Source organism: Homo sapiens, chromosome 7 (assembly GCF_000001405.40).
Source record: "Homo sapiens chromosome 7, GRCh38.p14 Primary Assembly".
Lineage (NCBI taxonomy): Eukaryota > Metazoa > Chordata > Mammalia > Primates > Hominidae > Homo > Homo sapiens.
The window spans coordinates 152,179,698-152,204,638 of record NC_000007.14 but is presented as its reverse complement, the minus strand read 5'-3'; the positions used below and the strand labels follow the sequence as shown (position 1 = coordinate 152,204,638).

The following is a 24,941-nucleotide window of genomic DNA, read 5'->3' as shown; positions in this document are numbered from 1 at the left end:
CTATCTATCTATCTATCTATCTATCTATCTATCTATCTATCTATCTAGGGGTCTCACTATGTCACCCAGGTTGGCATGCAGTGGCACAATCATGGGTCACTGCAGCCTTGCACTCCTGAGCTCAGGTAGTTCTCCTGTCCTCAACCTCTGATGTAGCTGGAGACCACAGGCACACACCACCATGCCTAGCTAATTTTTTGGCTTTTTGCAAAGACAGGGTCTCACTTTGTTGCCCAGGCTGGCCTGCAACTCCTGTGCTCAAGCGATCCTCCTGCCTCAGCCTCCCAAAGTGCTGGGATTACAAATGTGAGCCCAGCTGATATCTAAAAAAAATTTTGTTTTTGAGACAGTCTTCCTCTGTTACCCAGGCTGGAGTGCTGTGGTGCCGTCTCAGCTCACTGCAACCTTCACCTCCCGAGTCCAAGCAATTCTCGTGCGTCAGCGTCCCAAGTGGCTGGGATTACAGGCGTGAACCACTGCATCCAGCCAGGAGTTGTTTTTTTTTTTTGCTATTGGTGGTGAGCAGGAGGTGGCAAGTGATGGTTTGTGTGAAGGTGTATTTCTTATTAAACTGACCCTGAGCTTTATGCAAGTCACCTCTGGCCTGTCTGCCTTGGAGAGAGGCCTTAAGCTTTGTCTTCTATTCCCTATTCCTCGCAATGCTCTGAAAATTGGAGTTTGAGGTCATTGGATTTCAGCAAATTTCGGAGAGCTTTTACTTTTTTGCTTACTTCTGTGGTTCCTTATTTATCTTAATTTTTGTTTTTCATGGATTCCTTATGTTCTGGCTAGGTTACTGGTGCCTTTAAAAAGATTGTTGTAAAAAATGTTTGTCTATTTCTAGTTTTCAGAAGAGTCAATTCACTTACGTAGTCTGGTGGTAGAGTGCCCATATTGATTTTCAGAAGGGATGTGCCATTTGCCCTGCCATTATGAAGCATCTGAGAATATCATTTGATTGTTTATTTGTCAAATTTAAGCTGTGTTCTTGTTTCTTTGCTAGTTTCATAGTCCCCAAATTTATTTCCATTTCTGATTTCAAGAATAAGTGTTCATTGCATATTTATTAGCATATTCATCGTCATGTTTTCACAATGTGTATATCCTACAAATAATTTATAATAAATTTCTGAACTTGGAATTGCTGTATTAAAGGACACACTTTTTCTTTAAGGTTTTTGTTGAGTATTCTCAATACACCCTACAAAAAAGTTACACCCACAGAATTTCTCTTAATAGTTTATAAGTTGCCATTTCGTCATACTCATGAGCTTTGGGTATTTATTATTATTATTATTATTATTTTACTCTTTAACAAAATATGTTTAAATAAATACGTTTTTGCTTTGTAATCGATTATTAAGAAAATAGGAAAAATGCTAATACTAAGTAGACATGAAATCAAAATTTTATGGCACTTAAAAGTAACAAACTTGATTTGAGATTTTTTTGTTCAAAAAGCTTGTTTGTTTATATGAAACTGTGTGTATGTTGGTAAGGTATAAAATTACCTTCAGTGGGTTTGTCTAGAAATTTTAAATGTCACATATTTATAAATGTGACTGTTGTTTCAGGCTGGAGTGAGCAGTTACCAGATACTTTAGTTGATGAATCTGTTTCTGTTACTGAAAGCACTGAAAAAATAAAGAAGAGATACCGAAAAAGGAAAAATAAGCTTGAAGAAACTTTCCCTGCCTATTTACAAGTAATATTTTGCTTTACATTATTTTACATGGTTTGTTAATTGAGGAAATAAAATGTATTGAGTTTTAAAACATAGGTTTGTTGTTTTTGTTAATGTTTTACTTGTTTTGTTGTCATTTAGTCATCATAAATGCCATTTTTACCTTTCAGGGGTCCATAAAAATTAAATTTACTTTTTTTGTGTGCTTTGATACTTGTCATAAATTGCTTTTTTAATACCAGTTGTTCACTTCTAAGCATTCTATAAGATGTAACAAGGACACTTTGGGATAGGAAAAACTCAATCTTCCAAGTCATTGATAGCTATGTATACCCCACACCCAAGTTCTGTTGAAATTTCCTTTGCCAATACAAGTTACATTAATTATATTCATTGATTAAAGATAGGCTTTTCAGCCAAAGTTATAGCTTTAATAATCGTTACCACTTTTAGAGGCCTGGAGAACCAAAGATTTAAGCAGTATTCTTTTTGTTTTCCAAAATACACATCAGAAAAATACCTTTCAGTACGAATAAATTATGTTTGATAGATGTAGACTACAAAAAAAATTTTTTTCTAGTTCATCTTGTAAACATTAAGTCAGAGTTTAAGGCCATGTGATACGGAAACAGCTCAATATTAGAAATTGTACTGAGATTAAATATCTGGCTCTGCATCTAACTAATTGTAAATTCCTAAGCGTGTTATTCATCCTTCCTGGCCTCTATTTCTTCATGTGTTAAAATTGAACTGGAACAGACTATCATTGAGAGGCCATCCTCATTTCATTGTAGACAACTATTCATCTGATCTGTTCCTCCTAAGAAACTATGGCTTACACAGATAACCCTTCATTGCCTGAGTTGCATTTATTTTTTACATCAATTTTCCAGTTAGGTATTACTAGTTTAATTGGTTTTAAAATACATTGCCTTTCAACTAGCATACAACTTCCTCAATTTTCTTTTTTGTAGCTACTAACATCTTAATGGCAGTATTCATGTTAGAGCTCAGCCTATAAAGTCAGGATTTAAACACCATTCCACTACCAGTTAGCTGTGTGATTTTGTTCTGTTTAACATCTCTTGTGTCTCGGTTTCCTCATTTGTGACATAGTGGTGCCTCTCAGAAATGCTCAGAAGTTCAGTGAGAGTATGTATGTAAAGTGCCTAGCCTGTGCCTTACTTTTTGTATATCCTTCATACATGTTTTTCCCCTCAATCTCTTATATCCTAGGTTTGCACCTTTGTTTTTTTTTAAACGATCATTTAATTGGTCAGGAAAAAAAATCCATTTATAGGTTGGCTTACCTTTTTTTTTTTTTTTTTTTTTTTTTTCATCTTTGTTGTTGTTTTCTCCTGGGATTCCCTTTACCTCCCTTCTTAATAGTCCTTTCTAGGAATATTGTGATGGCAACCTACTTTTCCTCCTATTGATCCTTCTGTAAAGTGTAATATAAATTTAAGAAGCTTTCTTTAGGTGTTTCTGCAAGTATGAAAACTAGCCATTTAATACTTTGGCAAAAGAGTCTTTAAAATTATTAGGTCTAATTTCCCAATTACTGCTGTGATCTTAGTCTCCTGGGCCGTCTTGTTCCCCTGTTGCACATCAGTAACTTTCAGCGTGTGTGTGTGTGTGTGTGTGTGTGTGTGTGTGTGTGTCTGTGTCTGTATGTGTGACATGAGGGAGGCCTTTTTAATGGTAGTTTTCTTGGACTTTTAGAGACGATATGGATGGAGCCCCCTCTTTATGTTATCTACAGGGAATGTAAAACACACTAAATTAATAAGGGTGACACAGTTTTTGATAAACACCAGTAAAGTCATGAGTCATTAGACAGAATTCTTGCTGATGATGGTGTAAGATTTCTCAGATTTATACTGAAGGCATTAAATAAATGACCTCTAAACTTCTAAAACGCTTTCTGCTGTTCATCATTTTTTCTAATGATAAAAGCATTGCTTATTATAAGAAATGAATCCTCTTCTACCTGGTATTCTAGTTTTGTGAATTTTTAGATTTTTCATAGTGAGATGACTTTTTCATTTAAAATGTGAACATTTCAAATCAGATATATCATTGCCTCCACCAGACTTCACACACTCCCAATCTCTTTTCTCAAAGGGTAGTATTGTTAATAATTTGGCATTTGTCCTTCAGAAACTTTTTTATAATTTATTTTTGCAAACTTATAATAGTCTTGATTTGAACTTTCTAATTTTTTTTTGAGACAGCCTCACTCTGTCACTGAGGCTGGAATGCAGTGATGTGATCTCAGCTCACTGCAACCTCTGCCTTCTGGGTTCAAGTGATTCTCGTGCCTCAGCCTTCCAGGTAGCTGGGATTACAGGCATGTTGGCGCATGCCTGGCTAATTTTTGTGTTTTGTGTAGAGTCAAGAGTTTTGCCATGTTGCCCAGGCTGGTCTCTAACTCCTGGGCCTAAGTGAACCACCTACCTCGGCCTCCCAAAATGCTGGGATTACAGGCGTGAGCTACTGCGCCCGACCTGTATTTTATAATTTACTGTATGTGTAATTCAACTTACTTTCTTTTAGTAATGTATTTTAGGGCTTTTTCTTTGATAACATAGAACTATATACTTTTAAAAAATTGTTGTATTTTGTAATATAAGTGTCTATAATTTGGATAGTTCTATGCCTGTTGATAGACATTAAGGCCATTTTTACTTCTTGACATTACAAAATATGCTACAGTGAACTTTTTTGTGCATGTTTGGCAAGAATGTGTTAAATGTTGTATTGCAAAATTGTCCTGTATGGAGGATCCTTTTTCCAGATAGACTACATCATAGGATATAGACTAAAGCAGAGTTCCTGGGTTGAAGCAGGGTAAAGGGGTGGAACTGTGCTTCCCTTTTGTCTTTGGTATTGATTTTTGAGAAATTTTGGAGAGATCTTGGAGTTGCAAGGAACCCAGCTTGAAAGTATATTGAAATGGAAAAATGTTAATATGCCTAAATAAATAGAAAACCACAAGCCTTTAGTAGCTGTAAATATTGCACACATAGTATGGCTAAACTGACTATAAAACCGTCTTTCAGATTGATGATGTAAGTAGTCTTATAGTGTAAGTGTGGTTATATGAATCAATAGATTACAAATCTACCTGAAGTAAATATTAAAGCCGTAGATCAAAGTCTTATGCTGTCCTCTGCAAGTAATCTATAAAAATTAATAATACTCATGAAGCTATTCTGCAGTTTCTAGAAACCTTTGGTATAATTGTGTGGTTTTATTTCCATAATTTTGTCTCTAGTAAAGCTACCAAAAAATCTTATTTTTAAAATAAGGAGAATCTATATAAAATAATTGACAGGATATTTCTATTTTTTAATACTTCTGTATTCAGTTTCTATATTGTTAAATATAAACCTTTTCTGTTATTTCTGCTTCCTTGTCAAAAACCATGACAGAATAATCTATTGTCTTTTTAGAATTTTCTAACCATTTTTGTATGTGCTTATCTTCATCTAGGAAGCTTTCTTTGGAAAAGATCTTCTAGATACAAGTAGACAAAGCAAGATAAGTTTAGATAATCTGTCAGAAGATGGAGCTCAGCTTTTATATAAAACAAACATGAACACAGGTTTCTTGGATCCTTCCTTAGATCCACTACTTAGTTCATCCTCGGCTCCAACAAAATCTGGAACTCACGGTATGTAGAATTATTCACAGATATTTTCTTTATATCATATAACATACATCTTCCTTTCAGTTAAATCTTTTTGAAATGTTTTTGTTTGGCCTCATATGCATTTTAAAAATCAACAGCATTGAAGTATAACTTACATTCAGTAAGTGGAACTATTTTAAGTGGACAGGTGTATAAGATGTAGCAAATTAATTTACCTGTGTAACTAGTACCAACATCAAGAGTTGTGAAGGAAAACATTTGGTTTACACTTTGCTGAGGGCAATGTGAGGGGTTATAATTTGGCCAACAGTGACTTTTTGACTAAAAATCTAAGATAGATTTTTGTTAATCATACAGCTTAAATTCAAAACAGAGAAACCGAAATGGATGTGGGGGTACTTGGGAACTTGCTGGCATACTGTGTTACTACAGTGAAGTCTGTTGCCCTAGGTCATGGTTTCTTACTGCTGACAGTTTGCACCAGTAATTCTTTGTTGTGGGAGGGAGCCTTTCTGGTGTATAGAAGGATGTTTAACAGCATCTTTGGCCTCATGATGATCAAAAATATCTCCAGATATTGCCAAATACCTTTTGGTTTTGGTGGGCAAAATCACCCCCGGTTGAGAACCATTATCCTAAATGCAGGAACTATTAACAATCAGAGAAAGGTATGAGAACTTGATGTATTTACAGAGTTACAGCAATGTCAGCAAGGCTCTAGGAGTTTAACTCATTGGGTAGGTAAGTGTCTTGATCAGTGTTTCTCCCACTTCTCCCCTATGGTTCTGTCAATTGTAAATCATTGTTCTTTTGGTAAGCTTCCTTTTTTTACCATTAATTGCATTTGTTACTCAGTTAATTTTATAAACTCATTTTGAAAAACAATTTTAAAGCAATCTTCCACTGAAAAATGACTTTGGATGTTAAGTAGTTAATGCTTCATTAACTTGGCATTATCCTGAATTGAAATACTGACAACTATTTTTGATTTTGACTTTTTGAAATAATTAGAAGCAATCTTACCCCGTGTTGGACACATGTGCATGTCCAGTCTGCCTCATTGTTGGTAGTGAGGTCATGCTTCTTGTTTGTTCAATCTTACATATTTTTTACCTCCTACTTTAATTCTGTTGTTTTAAGTATGACCTGCTCTTGTCCTTGTCAGTATGTTGTTAAAAATAATGTATAATGAAAGACCTGTGGGTCCTTCAAAGGATATTTTACGATAAAGTTTATCTTATAACTCTCATAACTAGCCACTTTGAAGACTTAAATAGGAGCTCTTTGCACTTGAGTTTTAAAAGCAAAAGGATTGAAATTGGACAGAGAACATATAGGAAAGATATTGATACAAGTTTTTTTTTTTCTTTATTTATTTTTTTCCACAAAAATACTGAAGAGAGAACAGTTTTACAATAAGGCCAAAACTTGGAGGACTAGAAAAATATACCCATTTCAAAACCTAGATTAATTGTTCTTTGCAATTGAACTACTCTTTTCACTTTATAATGGAAAATTAATGACTAAAGGCTTTTTTTTAACATGTCATTCATTGTAGCCTATTATATCAATTTTAATGATTTATTCAGATATAAAATCCTTTAGGTAGGGGCAAACTTGTAAAACAGTCTTTAAAAAATTAGTTATAATTGTATAGTAGAATTCCATTACTTTAAAACAAAAAACTGCTATATGACTCCTAAAAAAATTATCCAGATTTTTTTTCATTCAACTACAGTGTTGTCATTATTGAAATAATTTTCTCTAAAAAGTTCCTGGATATTTGGGCACGCAAAACTTAATGTGATATGTTACATATGAATTACATTTTGAAAACTATATAATGGGACCAAGACTGTTTGACAGAAGTATTTGACCTGGAATATTACATTTATGCCCTCCTCCCCCTTTTAAGTAAAAATAAGCTTGAGATGGATTAAAAATTTCAGTTTCTCTTTACTGAATGACTAATATAATTATTAAAGCTAGCCTAAACAAGAGTTCCAATAGTTTCTTGGTTAAGCCCAAACCCGTAGAATCCTCCTTGACTTTTCTTTCCCTTTCATTCATCCACGTTTGTGTCTGCCTTCAAAATACGTCCCAAAGCCGACCACTTGTCTCAGCTTTCCTTAGAACCCTGGTGCTGTCATCACCTCACCTCTCAGACTGCACCAGTGCCCTTTTCTAATCTTACCAGCCCCTCTCTAATTCCCACCCCTCATCTGCTCTACATATAGCAGCCAGTATGTTCCCTTTAAAATATTAGTCATCTCCTATCTTTCAGCCTCCCAGCAACTTCTCATTACACTTCAGAATAAAACCCAGTCTTCCCCATAATCTCTAAAATCTTAACATAATCTTGCCCTAGCTGCCTCTTTTTTATCCTTACCACAGTTTTTCTTACTGTTAACACTCTGGCCTCTCGTTGGCAAACCCGGCTTGCCCCAGGGGCTTTATGTCTGCTTTGCCTTAGTTTGGAGGGTTATCTCCATCTTTGTGCATATAACTTACTCCCTCATTTAGTTTTATGCTCAGTCATCTCCTAAAGGTCTTCATAGACCACTCTGTCTAATACAACATCCCCGCAGCTTATTTTTAATCCTTTTTCCTTGTTTTTTCTTTAAATAGCACTTACAGCGATGTCGTTTATTTACTAACTCCCCCTGAGAAAGTAAGCCCTCTGAGGGCAGGCACTTTGTTTCAGTCATTACTGAGTGGGCAATGCCTGATACGTGATCCATAGACACAGTTCTGTGGGTAGTGAAATACTTTTTAAAATAAATGAGTGAGTAATCAGTATGAACAGCAAAGCTGCAAGTAGTTACTAGATGGTACCTGGCTTGTGCTCCATATGGAATTTCTGGCTTGTGCTCCATATGGAATTTCTAAAGAGTGACAGGTTTGTCTTTCATATTTTAACTTTTCCTACTGTGTTTTAATTTCTCAATGTCACTTTTAGACATGCCACTTTCTTAATGAAAAACTTTTTTTTCTTTGCTTTGTTTCTTACAGCATTTATTCTGTTTCACTTTTATTGCCTACAGGTCTTTAAATTTTGTCTCAATATACATTAGTCACAAGACAAAATCGTCTGAATTTTTAGTAAATTTTTGTAATTCAAAACATTATCTCCTTTGCTATGGAAAATTTTTACTGTAAAATTAAGAGTCTCAGGTTTTTATTCCAGTACTTGCCTCACTCAGTATCTGCTGTACTCTAGGTTTTTAGCAAATGGCTTAATATCTGAGAAAATACTGAAATTTTAAAAAACATATTTACTATATTTAGGTCCTGCTGATGACCCATTAGCTGATATTTCTGAAGTTTTAAACACAGATGATGACATTCTTGGAATAATTTCAGATGATCTAGCAAAATCAGTTGATCATTCAGGTATATATGAATACTGTTTACCCTTTTTCTGGTTTCTGATGTGAGCGAGAGGTGTATGATGTGTGGAACAAGTTTAGCCTTTTGTCTGTTTCCCAGTAACTGTGTTTTTGTTTTTGGCTTTGTTAAAGGACTCAGCATTTTCTTTGATCTGCCTCAGCTTTCCTGCTTTAGGAGGGGTATAGCAAGTTAGTTAATTTCTGTCGTCTTTCTAATTGCATCACATTTAAGGCATGTTGCCTTAAAGTCTTGCTGTATCTTTTTTCTTCTTTTGTTTGTATTTTCCCTCACTTCCTGCTCCTGTGGTAATCATCCATTTTATTTGGTTTGGGTCTTATAGGTCTTGATTTATGCACTTTCCAGGTTGAGAGCTCACCTTTTCCATTTGGTAAGAAACTGAGCAATGGATGACGGCTGACTAGAAGTAGTCTTCTTTTTTTATAGTGATTTCAGCTGAAACAACCTGTAGGTGCATGCTGTTTATCAGTAGTGCTAATTTGTCACTAATCCATACTTTGCTTTTCCCTTTTTGTGTGTGGCTAAAGCATAGTATAGCTGTACTGTACTTCGGGTGACTTTCTCAGTAGTTTTTCTTTAATGAATAATTTTATTTTTGTTAATATGTGGTTTACAATATTACCTAAATGTCGTAGAGCTAGTTCCTAATATAAGATCAAATAAGAACAGACTAAATTTTTACTTTTTAATAGTAATAATATTGAGAAAGCATGAAAAAAATGTAGATGATAAACCACTTTTACATGTGACTCTTACAAATTTGAGCTGCAGCATGTTACAATTTTATAAAATGTAATGTACATAATCAGAATGTGCCTATAGAATACTTTAAAAATATTACCTATAATTGAAGTTATTTACAAAGGATAATATTAAACACTGAGCATTTTAGGGCTTTTCATTAATTCATATGAAACATATTCCTTTTTACATACTGTGCATAATAATTGAACTGTACATTTGATAACACTATTTTCCAAATTAAAGCAATTATTTGCATATCGATTTCTCATAAACTCCTATCTTAAGCTTTTTTTTTTTTTTGGCAGGAGTTGGCAAGTTAAAATCAGATGTATTCTTTTATTCCTCAGGAAATGTTTTTACTTGAAATAGAACTTTACATGGCACCGAATACAAATATATTGTGCCTAATTTTTACTGAGCGACTCTCCAAATTGATATGAGAATTCTGATTCAGAATTACAGACTTTATTTCTCTATTTTAATCATATTGTTATATACTAAGTACAGGTAAATAGTGCTATACATTTTTGTGTGAGTATTCTGAATGTACCTTTAAATTTATTTTCCTTACTCTTGTAGATATTGGTCCTGTCACTGATGATCCTTCCTCTTTGCCTCAGCCAAATGTCAATCAGAGTTCACGACCATTAAGTGAAGAACAGCTAGATGGGATCCTCAGTCCTGAACTAGACAAAATGGTCACAGATGGTAAAATATTTGCCCTACATCTAGGCTTTCTAAAAGACCTGAGTAAATATGATTTTTAAAGATTTTTGCATGGTTATAATTTAACTTCTAATTATTTCTGTCAGTTAAATACTATTTTATATCAGTATATTGAATTAGTAGCTGTTAATGTTTCTTTTTTTTTTTTAATTTATTCTAGGAGCAATTCTTGGAAAATTATATAAAATTCCAGGTAAATGTGTTTTGATTTTCTAGTTAATGAAAATGGCGTTCCCCATACCAGGACCCTACTAGTCTTTTAATCTTGTTACTATTATTGTTTTATCTCCTAGAGCTTGGCGGAAAAGATGTTGAAGACTTATTTACAGCTGTACTTAGTCCTGCGAACACTCAGCCAACTCCATTGCCACAGCCTCCCCCACCAACACAGCTGTTGCCAATACACAATCAGGGTATGTTATGACTTTATAATTCTACATTATATTCACACACATGTGTATATATGTGGGTACATATACACACACAAGCAAGTTTTGCCCTATTCTTTAGTAGCCACGTATACAAACTGATAGGGAGAAAAACCCTTTTGTAATGATTGAAAAATACTGACTTCACATAGCGGTCTCCCTGAAATTCTCTGTAATTCTGTAATTATCCTTATGTCCAGTGGGGAGGATGTAACAGTGCCTGCCCTCTTCCCTCCCTGCAAGTCCCATTCCCAGCTCACTCCACTCTAGTCATTTGCCACATAGGCACTTGCTGTGTGTGTGTGTGTGGAACTGTCCCCGCTCACCTGGCTGCCTGTACTCATTGATCTGCCCTCGGTTTCACTGTCATCTCTCAGAGGTTAGCTGGTCACCACCCCACCCCCATGTTTTTCATTTGTAGCATATGGCACAAATATAATACCTGTTTGGGTAATTATGTCTTCCCTTTAGATTGTGAGCTCTTTAAAGGCTAGAGTTGTCCATGTCTTGCTTATATGCCCTGCCACAGAGTATGTGTTCAGTACATACTTTCATAGTAAATCAGTGACCTTTCTATCCCTGTAGACACTATGAAATTTTGTGAATGTTTGCCTATTTTGTTCATTTTTCTTCTGCCTACTTACAACTAGCTACCAATTTCTCCCCTTTTCTGTAGAGCTGAAATTTGATAGCCTAGGATTAAGGTCTGTATGAGTAGATAGGGAAATTGGTACAGGTATGGGAATCTATAGGAAGGAGTTTATGGAGTTGCATGGTGGCGTGTATATAACTCTATCTATATGTATTTTTGTTTTGTTTTGAAACGGTCTCGCTCTGTCACCCAGGCTGACATGCAGTGGTGTGAACACAACTCACGTCAGCTGCGATCTCCTGGGCTCAAGCGATCCTACTGTCCTCAGCCTCCCATGCAGCTGCGACCACAGGCACACGCCATCATGCCTGGCTAATTTTTTGATTTTTTGCAGAGGTGGGGGTCTCACTTTGTTGCCCAGGCCAGTCTAGAACTCCTGGGTTCAAGTGATCCTCCCACCATGGCCTCCCAAAGTGCTGGGATTACAGGCGTGGCCCTCTGTGCGCAGCTAGTATATATTTCTGATGATTTGAGCATAGGAACATCTCTCTCTATCCTATTGTCACTGCCTCATGACTATACCCTGAATTGAATAACATGAGGATATCTTCTCCTTTTCTTGTGTAAGTGCCAAAGTGTGTGAATAATTTGTAACCTTTACTAACAACTTTGTATATACATGAAAATTCCATAATGCACATAATGGAAATATTTGTGTTTTTACCAGTTTAGCCTCTAAACATAAATTTACCTTGATTTTTGCTAGGCTAAACATGTGATTTACATTTGGGTAATATACTTATCATATAACTATTCTTGCCTTAATTGTTCCTATGTGCTTTTTTTTTTTCTTTTTTTTCTGAGACAGAGTCTCACACCTTCGCCCAGGCTGGAGTGCAGTGGCGTGATCTCGGCTCACTGCAACCTCTGCCCTCTGAGTTCAGCGATTCTTCTGGCTTAGCCTCCCGAGTAGCTGGGATTACAGGTGCCTGCCACTGTGCCCGGCTAATTTTTTGTATTTTTAGTAGAGACGGGGTTTCACCATCTTGGTCAGGCTGGCCTTAAACTCCTGACCTTGTGAGCCATCTGCCTCAGCCTCCCAAAGTGCTGGGATTACAGGCGTGAGCCACCGCGCCCAGCCCCCATATGCTGTTTTAACGATTAAGAACTATTCAGTATTTCTCTTTTCAACATATAAAAATGACCTGTCTTTATGTTTTCTGAACTGAAAGTGCATATTTTAAAAATCAAAGATGTATTTCTTTATAAAAAACATCTTACAATCATTATGAAAATCACTTCATTGTGCAGTCTCATTTTTAAAAGGTCTTGGGAGGATGACTTCTTTTTCTTTTTTTTTTTTTCTTTTGCAAGGTGTTAATGTGTAATACAAGGTGAATCAGGTTGCCTACCCTTAGGAGTTTGTAATTCTAATACTGTAGACTTTCAGGTATACAACTAATGTGTATTATAGTACAGTATAATTCAAGTACAGCCTTGTGAATCACTAAGATTTCATTGTTCTTGTTTGAAGGAATAGTAGTTCTAATGTAAGGGCAAAGCATGATCAAGTTACATATAGGGCGACACATAGTTATTCAAGAATGGCAACTTTAATGTTTTCCAGAGCAAAGGGAGTGGGCATTGTTTAAGGAAGCAAAACTAGAAGTGGACATTGGTGCTGATTGTAAAGGGCTCTGAGAAATAGGCAGAGGCAGCTAGCCTTTTCCCTAGAGGCTTCCAAGAGCCTTTGAAGACCTTACACCACTGGTGTGATCTGATCACTTATGTGTTTTGCTAAGGTAGCTCTGGTGTCAATATTGGGAATAAATTTGGGACGAGAAGAATTGTACTAATGAGGTTATTGTGGTTGAGACTAAGTTAAAAAGTAGGTTCCATGTAAAGATACTTCCGTGCTGATTGAAAGGAAGGAATAGATACGAGAGAAAATGACATTAGAACAAGTAGGACTGTGCTACTGAATGGATATAAGGTGTGAGGAAAGGGGGAAATTAAAGTGAATTAGACTATGTATAAACCAGGGGCCCAGAGGATAATCATGAAACAGAGGAAGACTTAGTGTGTGTGCTGGTAGAAGGTAGTGGAGGTACAATGAATTTAGTTTTAGACCTCTTTTAGGTTGGTAGAAATGGGACATATACACTATTTTGACTTACAGGCAGTTGCAGTTAGTCAAGGAGATGGATGAAAATGTAGGAATTATCTGTGTAATTGTGCTAATTGCACATGTGGGAAGGATGAGATTTATTAAGAGAATATACTGCCAGTAGAGTATAGAATCTCGAGGAATGCTTTTTAATTAAATGTAATTAAGTATATGCTTAACTCATCTGATTTATATTAGGTGTGCAATTACATGTTTCTTATCTTTCTTCCTTTTAAAGGTTAGGTGAAAGTAAAAAAAGTGGTGAGAGATTTGAGACATTGAGTGAGAGGTATAGGATCTTGGAAATGAATGATCATTAGAGACAGGTTGTACAGTTAAGTAACATGACTACTTGAAAAACATTGTTTCATTGGACCATGGGAAGGTTGTTGCTAATCTTCAGTGGAGTAACTTCAATAGAATTGATGAGAAAGGGGAGGCAAAGTGTAATATGTTATTATGTAATATGTAATATGCTTTATTGTCTGATGGTAATAAAGTTCAGAAAGTAGAGAATAGAATTTTCAAGATTGAGATAGAGTAACTTGAAATACCTTTATGTAAAAGTTGTGAAGTAACTTTTGAACTTTTATAAACTAATATGACTAGTTTGGGTAGATATGGTAGACTTGGAAAAAAAAAAGACCACTTCTTGAATAAAATAAGAAGAAATACTTTGCTTTTACTTATTTGTCCTTGAACAAATTATTTAATTTCTGTGGGTCCTCTTTGCTTAAATGGAGCTGAACATAATAACCTATTTCAGTGGGTTTTCATGAAGCTGTAAAGCTTTTAAGACAGTGCTTAGCATAGCATAAAGTACTTAACAAATAATAGCTAATATTACTATTGGGAAAAGTTTCAATATGTTAATATTGTAGATTATTACAAGATTATTATTGTAATATCGGTAGATGGCACTGATACCTAGCTACAGTATGGATCACATTCTCCTTGTCAATAAACTCTTGTTTCTCCTAATTACATGAAAGACATTTGATATTGTTTATTAAAATTGCACATTCCTTAACGCAGCAGTCCCCAGCCTTTTTCGCACCAGGGACCAGTTTCAAGGAAGACCATTTTTTCACAAACCCAGGTTGGTGGGTTGGGGAATGGTTTTGCGATGAAACTGTTCCACCTCAGATCATGAGGCATTAGATTCTCATAGGAACATGCTCGCATGCACACTTCACAATAGGGTTTGCGCTTCTATGAGAATCTAATACCGCCACTGATCTGACAGGTGGAGCTCAGGCGGTAATGGTCACTTGCCCGCTGTTCACCTACTGTGCGGCCGGGTTCCTAACAGGTCATGGACTGGTACCAGTCTGTGGCCCCAGAGTTGGGGACCCCTGCCTTAATGGAACCTGCTTTTCACTGAAGTTGAAAATAGATGTGGCATTCTAGTTTGAAAAAAGCAGAAATCTTGCCCTTTAATCCTTGGAGTAAATGTAAGTGTCATGAGATATTTGTCATTGTGAAAACCTGATCCAGTGGACCCAGCTGTGGCATTTAGTAGGGTAAGCCCGTTTGTGAAAGTCAGAGAGTTCTAGGAAGTCTTTGAGACAAAATCTTTTAAACTTGTCAGTGATCATCCTTAGTATCTGCACATACATACTGGAGCTATGTAGGTTTTAGTGTTGTAACATTCAAATGATGTGGTTTAAGTGAAAGATCATTATACATTGTAAAATGTACGTGTATGAGACTTTTTTTTTAATCTAATGGAATGACATTAGATAAAAAAAAATCAAGTGATCAGGTTAGGAATTCTCTAGTTATACCAAGTATTGGTCAACTCTGTATTGCCATTTGTGTAATTAATTGGTGATGTGGATCTCCTGTAATAGTATGGCTCTAAGTGTTGCAACAATTAACAGAGGCCTTGTGTATTTCCACAAATCATCAAGTTTAATTGGGAGGGCTTTTTGAAGGTAAACAAAGTTTTTGTTGTTGTTGTTCTTTCTTTTTTCTGGAAACTGCTCCAATATGGACAGTTGGCTTAGTTCCAAATAGTTTAGACAAGTAGACTTTCACAATAAGGACTGGAGTTACATGCTTAAAGGAGTGTTGTAAAGAAGCATAAGATGGTCCTTTTATTTGCCTAATGTCTATTCAGAAAGAAAACGATAAGGTATTTGATGTTTGTGAATAAGCTCGAATGAGAATTCAAATGTGTTTGGGGGCTGAACTGTAAGTTATAAAAATTAGGCCAAAACCAGAGTGTATGTATTTTTAGGAATAATCATCTGATTTTTAGTGATAGATATATTGCTTACTCAAAACTAATTTAGAGAAAGTATCAATTTAAGAATCATAGGTGGGGTGGACACAGTGGCTCACACCTGTAATCCCAGCACTTTGGGAGGCTGAGGTGGGTGGATCACTTGAGGCAGGAGTTTGAGATCAGCTTGGCCAAAATGGTGAAACCCCACCTCCACTAAAAATACAAAAATTAGCTGGGCATGGTGGCAAGTGCCTGTGATTCCAACTACTCAGGAGGCTGAGGCAGAATTGCTTGAACCTGGGAGGCAGAGGTGGCAGTGAGCTGAGATCTTGCCACTGCACTCCAGCCTGGGCGACAGAGTGAGACTCCATCTCAAAAACAAAAAAAAAAAAAAAAAAAGGAAAGAATCATAGATTTTTTTTTTTTTTTGGTATTAAGAGGAACAGGAATAAAATATAAGAAACATCTGTTTGTAAATTTTTAATGAAGAGAAAGAATATTTGATAAAACTTACTAGCATTTGCTGTGATTCATTAGTGTTTTTTAGGAGTTAATTGTGTCGAATAGTTACTGCATACCAGGAACTATGTTTAGAGCTGTACATACATTATCTCAATTAACCCAAATAACAGAATACCTACGGTTTACAGAAATAGAAATTGATTCTGCTTCTAACAGGTAAAATTGAGGTTCACACCCTGGGCTTTTGGACTCCAGAACACTTGCTATTTCTAGTACACAATAATGAAATAATCACAGCTGTAGAGATCATATTTCAAAATCTTATAGCCAAAAGTCACTCTTTAAGTATTATAAAATACTGAAAAAAATCCTACTTTTAAATTGCATTAAAGGTTTTGATTTAGAAGTATAAGCATCTCTTCTGTACTTGGGGCTTTGGTTCCAGGACCCCCAGGTATAACCAAAATCTGAGAATACAGAAGTCAAATGTTGGCCCTATGGAGCTTGGCATACAAGAAAAGTTGGTCCTCTCTATGCATGGGTTTCCCTGTGTTTTCTATCCACATTCAGTTGAAAAAAATGTGTGTTTATGTGGACCCATGCAGTTAAAAACCATGTTGTTCAAGGGCCAGCTTTACTTCAACTCCTTGTTACTTGTGAATATCATGCCAACGGAATTATTTTTTTCTCTGAAGATGCTTTTTCACGGATGCCTCTCATGAATGGCCTTATTGGATCCAGTCCTCATCTCCCACATAATTCTTTGCCACCTGGAAGCGGACTGGGAACTTTCTCTGCAATTGCACAATCCTCTTATCCTGATGCCAGGTACAAGCCTTATTTTCTATGGAAACTTAAATTGCACTAATTTCTGTTTGATTTATATATAAATTAGTCTGCTTAAATGATTGTGTATGATATTATTGTATGTTGCGTTTATTGTGGCTTTTGCTATAAATATGTTACTTTTAACTGTTTTGTAATAGGTTTTAATGAAAGCTATACTTGAACATATATTAAGAAGTTATTTTATGTTCATAAAGTAAAGATATTTATTTTTTCCCAGGGATAAAAATTCAGCCTTTAATCCAATGGCAAGTGATCCTAACAACTCTTGGACATCATCAGCTCCCACTGTGGAAGGAGAAAATGACACAATGTCGAATGCCCAGAGAAGCACGCTTAAGTGGGAGAAAGAGGAGGCTCTGGGTGAAATGGCAACTGTTGCCCCAGTTCTCTACACCAATATTAATTTCCCCAACTTAAAGGAAGAATTCCCTGGTAAGCCATGAATATATTATTTCTGTTTTACCAACATTTTCACATGTGCAATACCTTTTTTTTTTTTAACTGCAATAGAAAGGTAGCTTAACTAATTTTTGTCTATGATGACCCACAACATGAAGATTCCCTAGATGTCTAGAAACATCTTGCATTTTACTTTGTCCTAGACCCTGCATCCATCCTCATATTTCCCAAAAATTAGTTTCAATTAGTGAAATGGTCCGTTTTTCAGCTCCTAGCAGTACTTATTAATATGCAGAAATCCGTGTTATGTGATTCTTTAAAAAATTTCTAGAACCCAAACTATCATTTAATCAAAAATACTGCTAGGCTAAATCAGTGAATCCTAAATAGTGTTTTTATGAAACGAATTCAATATTGTCTTCCCTTCTTCCCCTCTCACTTTCCCTGACTGCCCAGCTATTACCACTGCCTCTTGAAAAAAACAGATGATAATAGTACAGTTTGTGAAAATTCTGATTAACCAGTGAATGAGAAATTTGGATTAATGAAATGTCAATTATTGAATATATGCAAGCAATGCGGTTTTATTATTTTGAGTTCATGGTATCAGACAAACTAGGATTGAAAAAGTTATTCAAACTCAGTTTTGCAATAGTTTCCCAGCTATCTATCAATACACAAACTCTTAAATTACTAGAGGGGTACCTGGAAGTGACTTTTCATTTGGATGACCCCTGTATTTAGGTACCTTTTTGGATTGGCGTCTTCATGGGACTTTATTCATTATGTATTGTAATAAATGAAATGCTTTTTATCTAACAATAGAAATCAGTGGTTTGATGCAGGGAGACCTGTGAAGGCAGTATCCCATTCTTCAGCCACTTTCTTTCCATGCTTACATTTGCTGTTTATGAACGTACATGGGTATGTTGTCATTTTGTGTCAGCACAAATTGTCCTTACAGCAGAGCTGTAACTTTTTTAAAAGTAATTTTCTTTAATAATTTTACTTTGTGATTCAAGAACCTCATGAAATACTGTGTTAAAGCTGTTGGTCTGTGAACTGATTTTTCATTTTCATTGGCTTTTTGGAAGCTTGCTTTCTTTTTGTAATGTGGAATAAATAATTTCTGTATTTATCATTAACTGTTGATCTTACCCAGGCTTCTTCATTTTGTATACCGTCATGACACTGAGTTTCATATAAATGGTTTGAACTCATTACTTTTCCATGTGTTTGTTGTCCACAAATGCTAGTGAGATGCTTATTTATGACTTTGTTTACTTCTGGTAGGTCAAATTGATAGATTTCTGTTTAGCACAGATGTTTTACAAACTTGTACTTTGGTTCTGGTGGTGTCTTACCACCAGAGGGAATTTATTATGTCTGGCTTGCATTTTTGCTACTTTGTCCCTTGAATCTAAAAACTTCCCAACTTTACAAGCTACGTTGTTAATAAGGCAGCACTTCATTTAGAAAACGTTTGTTTGGCCTACAGTGTGCCACGATCTTTGTTCTTTGTAAAAAACTTAATATAGGTCTATGACCTCATGAGAATACGGCCTGAATAAGATTAACTGTCAGCAGTTCATCAACATTCTTTATTACAACACATCATTAGCATGGCTCTGAGAAAGTGTTATACTCTGTTCTTTTGTTGCAGATTGGACTACTAGAGTGAAGCAAATTGCCAAATTGTGGAGAAAAGCAAGCTCACAAGAAAGAGCACCATATGTGGTATTTTAAGAAACTCCTCTATCTTTTAAATATTTAAATACAGTGCTTGAACCTTATTTGTATTAGGTTAATAAAAAACAAATTTCCATTTCAGAAAATGCTTGTTAGTACCTGTACAACAAGCAACTTTATTTTTAAAGTGATTTTCTAACTCCTTATGTCTTAATAGAGAGTGTGACATTTTTATAAGCAAGTTAATAGAACCAAAACGTTGAAGATTGAAAATCAGCTGTTTTAGGGGGGAAGGAGTAATTCATTTCACTTTAAAATTGTTTTATCTCTTCAGCAGAGGTACAGTTGGCCGTCTGTATCCATGAGTTCTATATCTGTGGATTCAACCAACCATGGATCAAAAATATTTTGGAAAAACATCTATACTGAACTTGTACAGACTCTTTCCCTTGTCATTGTTTTTAAAACAATGTAACAACGATTTACATAGCATTTATATTGTGTTAAGTATTACAAGTAATCTAAAGATGACTTAAAGTATACAGGAGGGGCCAGGCACAGTGACCCACACCTGTAATCCCAGCAGTTTGAGAGGCCAAGGTGGGCAGATGGCTTTGAGCCCAGGAGTTCAAGACCAGCCTGGGCAACATAGCCAAAACCTCATCTCTATAAAAAATGAAAAAATTAGCTGGGTATGATGGCGCATGCCTGTAGTCTCAGCTACTTGAGAGACTTGAGAGGTTGAGGCTTCAGTGAGCCAGAATTGTACGACTGCATTCCAGCCTAGGTGACAGAGCAAGACCACCCTGCTAGGTCAAAAAATAAAAAGGGAGAAAGTATACAGGAGGATATGTGTAGGTTATATGCAAATACTGTGACATTTTCTATAAGGGACTTGAGCATCTGTGGATTTTGGTATCTGCAGGGAATCCTGGAACCAATACCCCATGGATACAGAGGGACAACTGTACTAAATTTGGAGACTGGATTGGCATGCCTCAGTGTCTTCCACAGTCACCTCTTTTCTTGTTAGGTTTCATAGAGAATCTTTGTGCATCTTGAAAGAGAAATATTTAGACATGTTTAAAGAGTTTTTGACACATGATCTTTGCCATGAACTATTAGGTAATTTTATAAGATTCGCAGTTCATATGGTAAATTATTTTCTCCCAAAGAGCCAAATTAAGATTGTCAGCTGGAACCAAATCCTTGCTTTCGTTTTAAAGCATATTAAATCTGTATTATTGTTGGAAAATATATATAGTTATTTTCCAGCTTGTTCCCCAGTGCACATATTTTCAGTTACAGTGATTATTTTGGATAGAGCATATATGTGTGTATATGCTCTATCACATATATATATATAGATGTGTTAATATGCTGTGTTTTATTTTGACTTGAATTAGGTAATGACAGAATTTTTAAATTTTTAAGTGATTTCTTTAATGATACGTTTCAAATATCCAGATTTTTTTTTTTTTAAGACTGATTGGATATTTTTCCTTTTTTCTAAATTTTTTTTTTTTTTTTTTTGAGATGGAGCTTCACAGTTGTTGCCCAGGCTGGAGTGCAATGGTGCGATCTCGGCTCACTGCAACCTCTGCCTTCCAGATTCAAGCGATTCTCCTGCCCCAGCCTCCCAAGTAGCTGGGATTACAGGCATGTGCCACCATGCCTGGCTGATTTTTCTTTTTCTTTTTCTTTTTTTTGAGACAGAGTTTTGCTCTTGTTGCCCAGGCTGGAGTGCAATGGCGCAATCTTGGCTCACCACAACCTCCGCCTCCTGAGTTCAAGTGATTCTCCTGCCTCAGCCTCCCGAGTAGCTGGGATTACAGGCATGTGCCACCACATCTGGCTAATTTTGTATTTTTAGTAGAGATGGGGTGTCTCCATGTTGGTCAGGCTGGTGTCGAACTCCCGACCTCAGGTGATCCACCCGCCTCAGCCTCCCAAAGTACTGGGATTACAGGTGTGAGCCACTGCGCCTGGCCTAATTTTGTATTTTTAGTAGAGGTGGGGTTTCACCATGTTGGTCAGGCTGATCTCAAACACCTGACGTCAGGTGATCCACCCGCCTTGGCCTCCCGAAGTGCTGGGATTACGAGCATGAGCCACCATGCCTGGCCCCAGCCCCTTCTTTCTAAATTGAAGGAGACATAATTTCTAAGGATATGTTAAGAAAACTAGGAGCTAAAATATTAAATCACACCTAGGATCTTTAAGCTTAATTCAAATACATAGAAATATATCCTCAACTGATAGGTACTATGCACTGTAAAGAGAGAAGATGAGTTAGTGTCCAGATCCTTTTTTGGGAGGTGCCGTAAGTATTTCAGCTATTTTACCTGACTTTTTTTTCTTTTATTTGAGAAAGTTCATGATAGTTTTATTTTATTCCTTAAAACATTTAACATAATCTGGGAAATTTTTTTCTCTTCTTTTGTCAAAGCAAAAAGCCAGAGATAACAGAGCTGCTTTACGCATTAATAAAGTACAGATGTCAAATGATTCCATGAAAAGGCAGCAACAGCAAGATAGCATTGATCCCAGCTCTCGTATTGATTCGGAGCTTTTTAAAGATCCTTTAAAGCAAAGAGAATCAGAACATGAACAGGAATGGAAATTTAGACAGGTATGGAATTTTTGGATAATCTACTTTTTGAAGTTGCATTTTTGTTTTGAGAAGGGAGGTCTTTGCATTATTATTTTAGAATATAGTTCTTAGACCATGAAAATTTGATTTAGGATAGACTTGTTTCTCTTTTCAGTAAAATATATTTAAATTGATTTGAGAAATTTATTGAAATATTATAAACAATATACTGCCCTAGGCACAAATGGAACATACCATGATGAGTAATTTCTCTTCTTCAGGAATTCATAATCTAATATGGGAGCAATCTGGTAGCGCTGACATCAAACAAATTAACTTTCTGTTGCTTTTTCCCCCCATGATGGTAGTTTTCTTCCTTAACCTAAATATGATTGCTTTTTCTTTTCTATTTTAATAGCAAATGCGTCAGAAAAGTAAGCAGCAAGCTAAAATTGAAGCCACACAGAAACTTGAACAGGTGAAAAATGAGCAGCAGCAGCAGCAACAACAGCAATTTGGTTCTCAGCATCTTCTGGTGCAGTCTGGTTCAGATACACCAAGTAGTGGGATACAGAGTCCCTTGACACCTCAGCCTGGCAATGGAAATATGTCTCCTGCACAGTCATTCCATAAAGAACTGTTTACAAAACAGCCACCCAGTACCCCTACGTCTACATCTTCAGATGATGTGTTTGTAAAGCCACAAGCTCCACCTCCTCCTCCAGCCCCATCCCGGATTCCCATCCAGGATAGTCTTTCTCAGGCTCAGACTTCTCAGCCACCCTCACCGCAAGTGTTTTCACCTGGGTCCTCTAACTCACGACCACCATCTCCAATGGATCCATATGCAAAAATGGTTGGTACCCCTCGACCACCTCCTGTGGGCCATAGTTTTTCCAGAAGAAATTCTGCTGCACCAGTGGAAAACTGTACACCTTTATCATCGGTATCTAGGCCCCTTCAAATGAATGAGACAACAGCAAATAGGCCATCCCCTGTCAGAGATTTATGTTCTTCTTCCACGACAAATAATGACCCCTATGCAAAACCTCCAGACACACCTAGGCCTGTGATGACAGATCAATTTCCCAAATCCTTGGGCCTATCCCGGTCTCCTGTAGTTTCAGAACAAACTGCAAAAGGCCCTATAGCAGCTGGAACCAGTGATCACTTTACTAAACCATCTCCTAGGGCAGATGTGTTTCAAAGACAAAGGATACCTGACTCATATGCACGACCCTTGTTGACACCTGCACCTCTTGATAGTGGTCCTGGACCTTTTAAGACTCCAATGCAACCTCCTCCATCCTCTCAGGATCCTTATGGATCAGTGTCACAGGCATCAAGGCGATTGTCTGTTGACCCTTATGAAAGGCCTGCTTTGACACCAAGACCTATAGATAATTTTTCTCATAATCAGTCAAATGATCCATATAGTCAGCCTCCCCTTACCCCACATCCAGCAGTGAATGAATCTTTTGCCCATCCTTCAAGGGCTTTTTCCCAGCCTGGAACCATATCAAGGCCAACATCTCAGGACCCATACTCCCAACCCCCAGGAACTCCACGACCTGTTGTAGATTCTTATTCCCAATCTTCAGGAACAGCTAGGTCCAATACAGACCCTTACTCTCAACCTCCTGGAACTCCCCGGCCTACTACTGTTGACCCATATAGTCAGCAGCCCCAAACCCCAAGACCATCTACACAAACTGACTTGTTTGTTACACCTGTAACAAATCAGAGGCATTCTGATCCATATGCTCATCCTCCTGGAACACCAAGACCTGGAATTTCTGTCCCTTACTCTCAGCCACCAGCAACACCAAGGCCAAGGATTTCAGAGGGTTTTACTAGGTCCTCAATGACAAGACCAGTCCTCATGCCAAATCAGGATCCTTTCCTGCAAGCAGCACAAAACCGAGGACCAGCTTTACCTGGCCCGTTGGTAAGGCCACCTGATACATGTTCCCAGACACCTAGGCCCCCTGGACCTGGTCTTTCAGACACATTTAGCCGTGTTTCCCCATCTGCTGCCCGTGATCCCTATGATCAGTCTCCAATGACTCCAAGATCTCAGTCTGACTCTTTTGGAACAAGTCAAACTGCCCATGATGTTGCTGATCAGCCAAGGCCTGGATCAGAGGGGAGCTTCTGTGCATCTTCAAACTCTCCAATGCACTCCCAAGGCCAGCAGTTCTCTGGTGTCTCCCAACTTCCTGGACCTGTGCCAACTTCAGGAGTAACTGATACACAGAATACTGTAAATATGGCCCAAGCAGATACAGAGAAATTGAGACAGGTAAACACATTGTATGTTCTCAGTTTTAAATGTATTATTTGAGGAAGCTGTTCATTTCATCAAACTGAGTAATTTCTACACAGGAGTTAATGTTTTATTTTTTTTATTCTGTAGAGTTTGTCATACTGCAAAAAAGAAAAATGAAATTGATGAAATTAACACCAGTTTAATTTATTCTGTATCTGATTTCAGTTTTCACGAATTCGCAGGGGAATCCTTAAATATTAAAGCTTTGTTTTGTGATAGTTGTCTGGCAAGGAAAAGGACCCAAATCATCAAATTATTTTTCCTAATATATTGAATAGTTAAATGTAACTGGTATTTCATCAAACTTTGAAACATTACCATAGCCACATAATGAAAGTATCAGGATTTAAAAAGCCACTAACCTGTCAGGCACGGTGGCGCATGCTTGTAATCCCAGCTACTTGAGAGGCTGAGACAGGAGGATCACTTGAGTCCAGGAATTTGAGGCCAGCCTGGGCAACATAGCAAGATCCCATATCTAAAAATAAAAAGCCAGTAACCTTTAAAAAGCCATTAATTACCACAAATCCCAGTGATTTTTGTTTCTTCCCATTTAGCGGCAGAAGTTACGTGAAATCATTCTCCAGCAGCAACAGCAGAAGAAGATTGCAGGTCGACAGGAGAAGGGGTCACAGGACTCACCCGCAGTGCCTCATCCAGGGCCTCTTCAACACTGGCAACCAGAGAATGTTAACCAGGCTTTCACCAGACCCCCACCTCCCTATCCTGGGAACATTAGGTCTCCTGTTGCCCCTCCTTTAGGACCTAGATATGCTGTTTTCCCAAAAGATCAGCGTGGACCCTATCCTCCTGATGTTGCTAGTATGGGGATGAGACCTCATGGATTTAGGTAATGCTTTTAATTTCCTGCCGAATTTAAATTGCTATTAGAAGAGGGAAACAGAGCTGGGTGTGGTGGCTTGTGCCTGTAATCCTAGCTACTAGCTGAGGCAGGAGGATTGCTTGAGGCTAGGAGTTTGAGACCA

The 24,941-nt window shown here is 37.0% G+C and overlaps 1 protein-coding gene across 1 annotated transcript in view; it reads left to right on the top strand.

Moving 5' to 3' along the window:
* KMT2C (lysine methyltransferase 2C) overlaps positions 1-24,941 on the top strand; it is a 301,079-nt gene that overhangs the window by 231,365 nt on the left and 44,773 nt on the right. The window contains exons 26-37 of the mRNA NM_170606.3: positions 1,575-1,705; positions 5,180-5,360; positions 8,628-8,732; positions 10,071-10,199; positions 10,378-10,410; positions 10,511-10,630; positions 16,792-16,924; positions 17,163-17,377; positions 19,008-19,081; positions 21,483-21,665; positions 22,045-23,928; positions 24,513-24,805. Coding sequence (NP_733751.2) covers positions 1,575-1,705; positions 5,180-5,360; positions 8,628-8,732; positions 10,071-10,199; positions 10,378-10,410; positions 10,511-10,630; positions 16,792-16,924; positions 17,163-17,377; positions 19,008-19,081; positions 21,483-21,665; positions 22,045-23,928; positions 24,513-24,805 — 3,481 coding nt within the window. The remainder of the gene's footprint in view (positions 1-1,574; positions 1,706-5,179; positions 5,361-8,627; positions 8,733-10,070; positions 10,200-10,377; positions 10,411-10,510; positions 10,631-16,791; positions 16,925-17,162; positions 17,378-19,007; positions 19,082-21,482; positions 21,666-22,044; positions 23,929-24,512; positions 24,806-24,941) is intronic.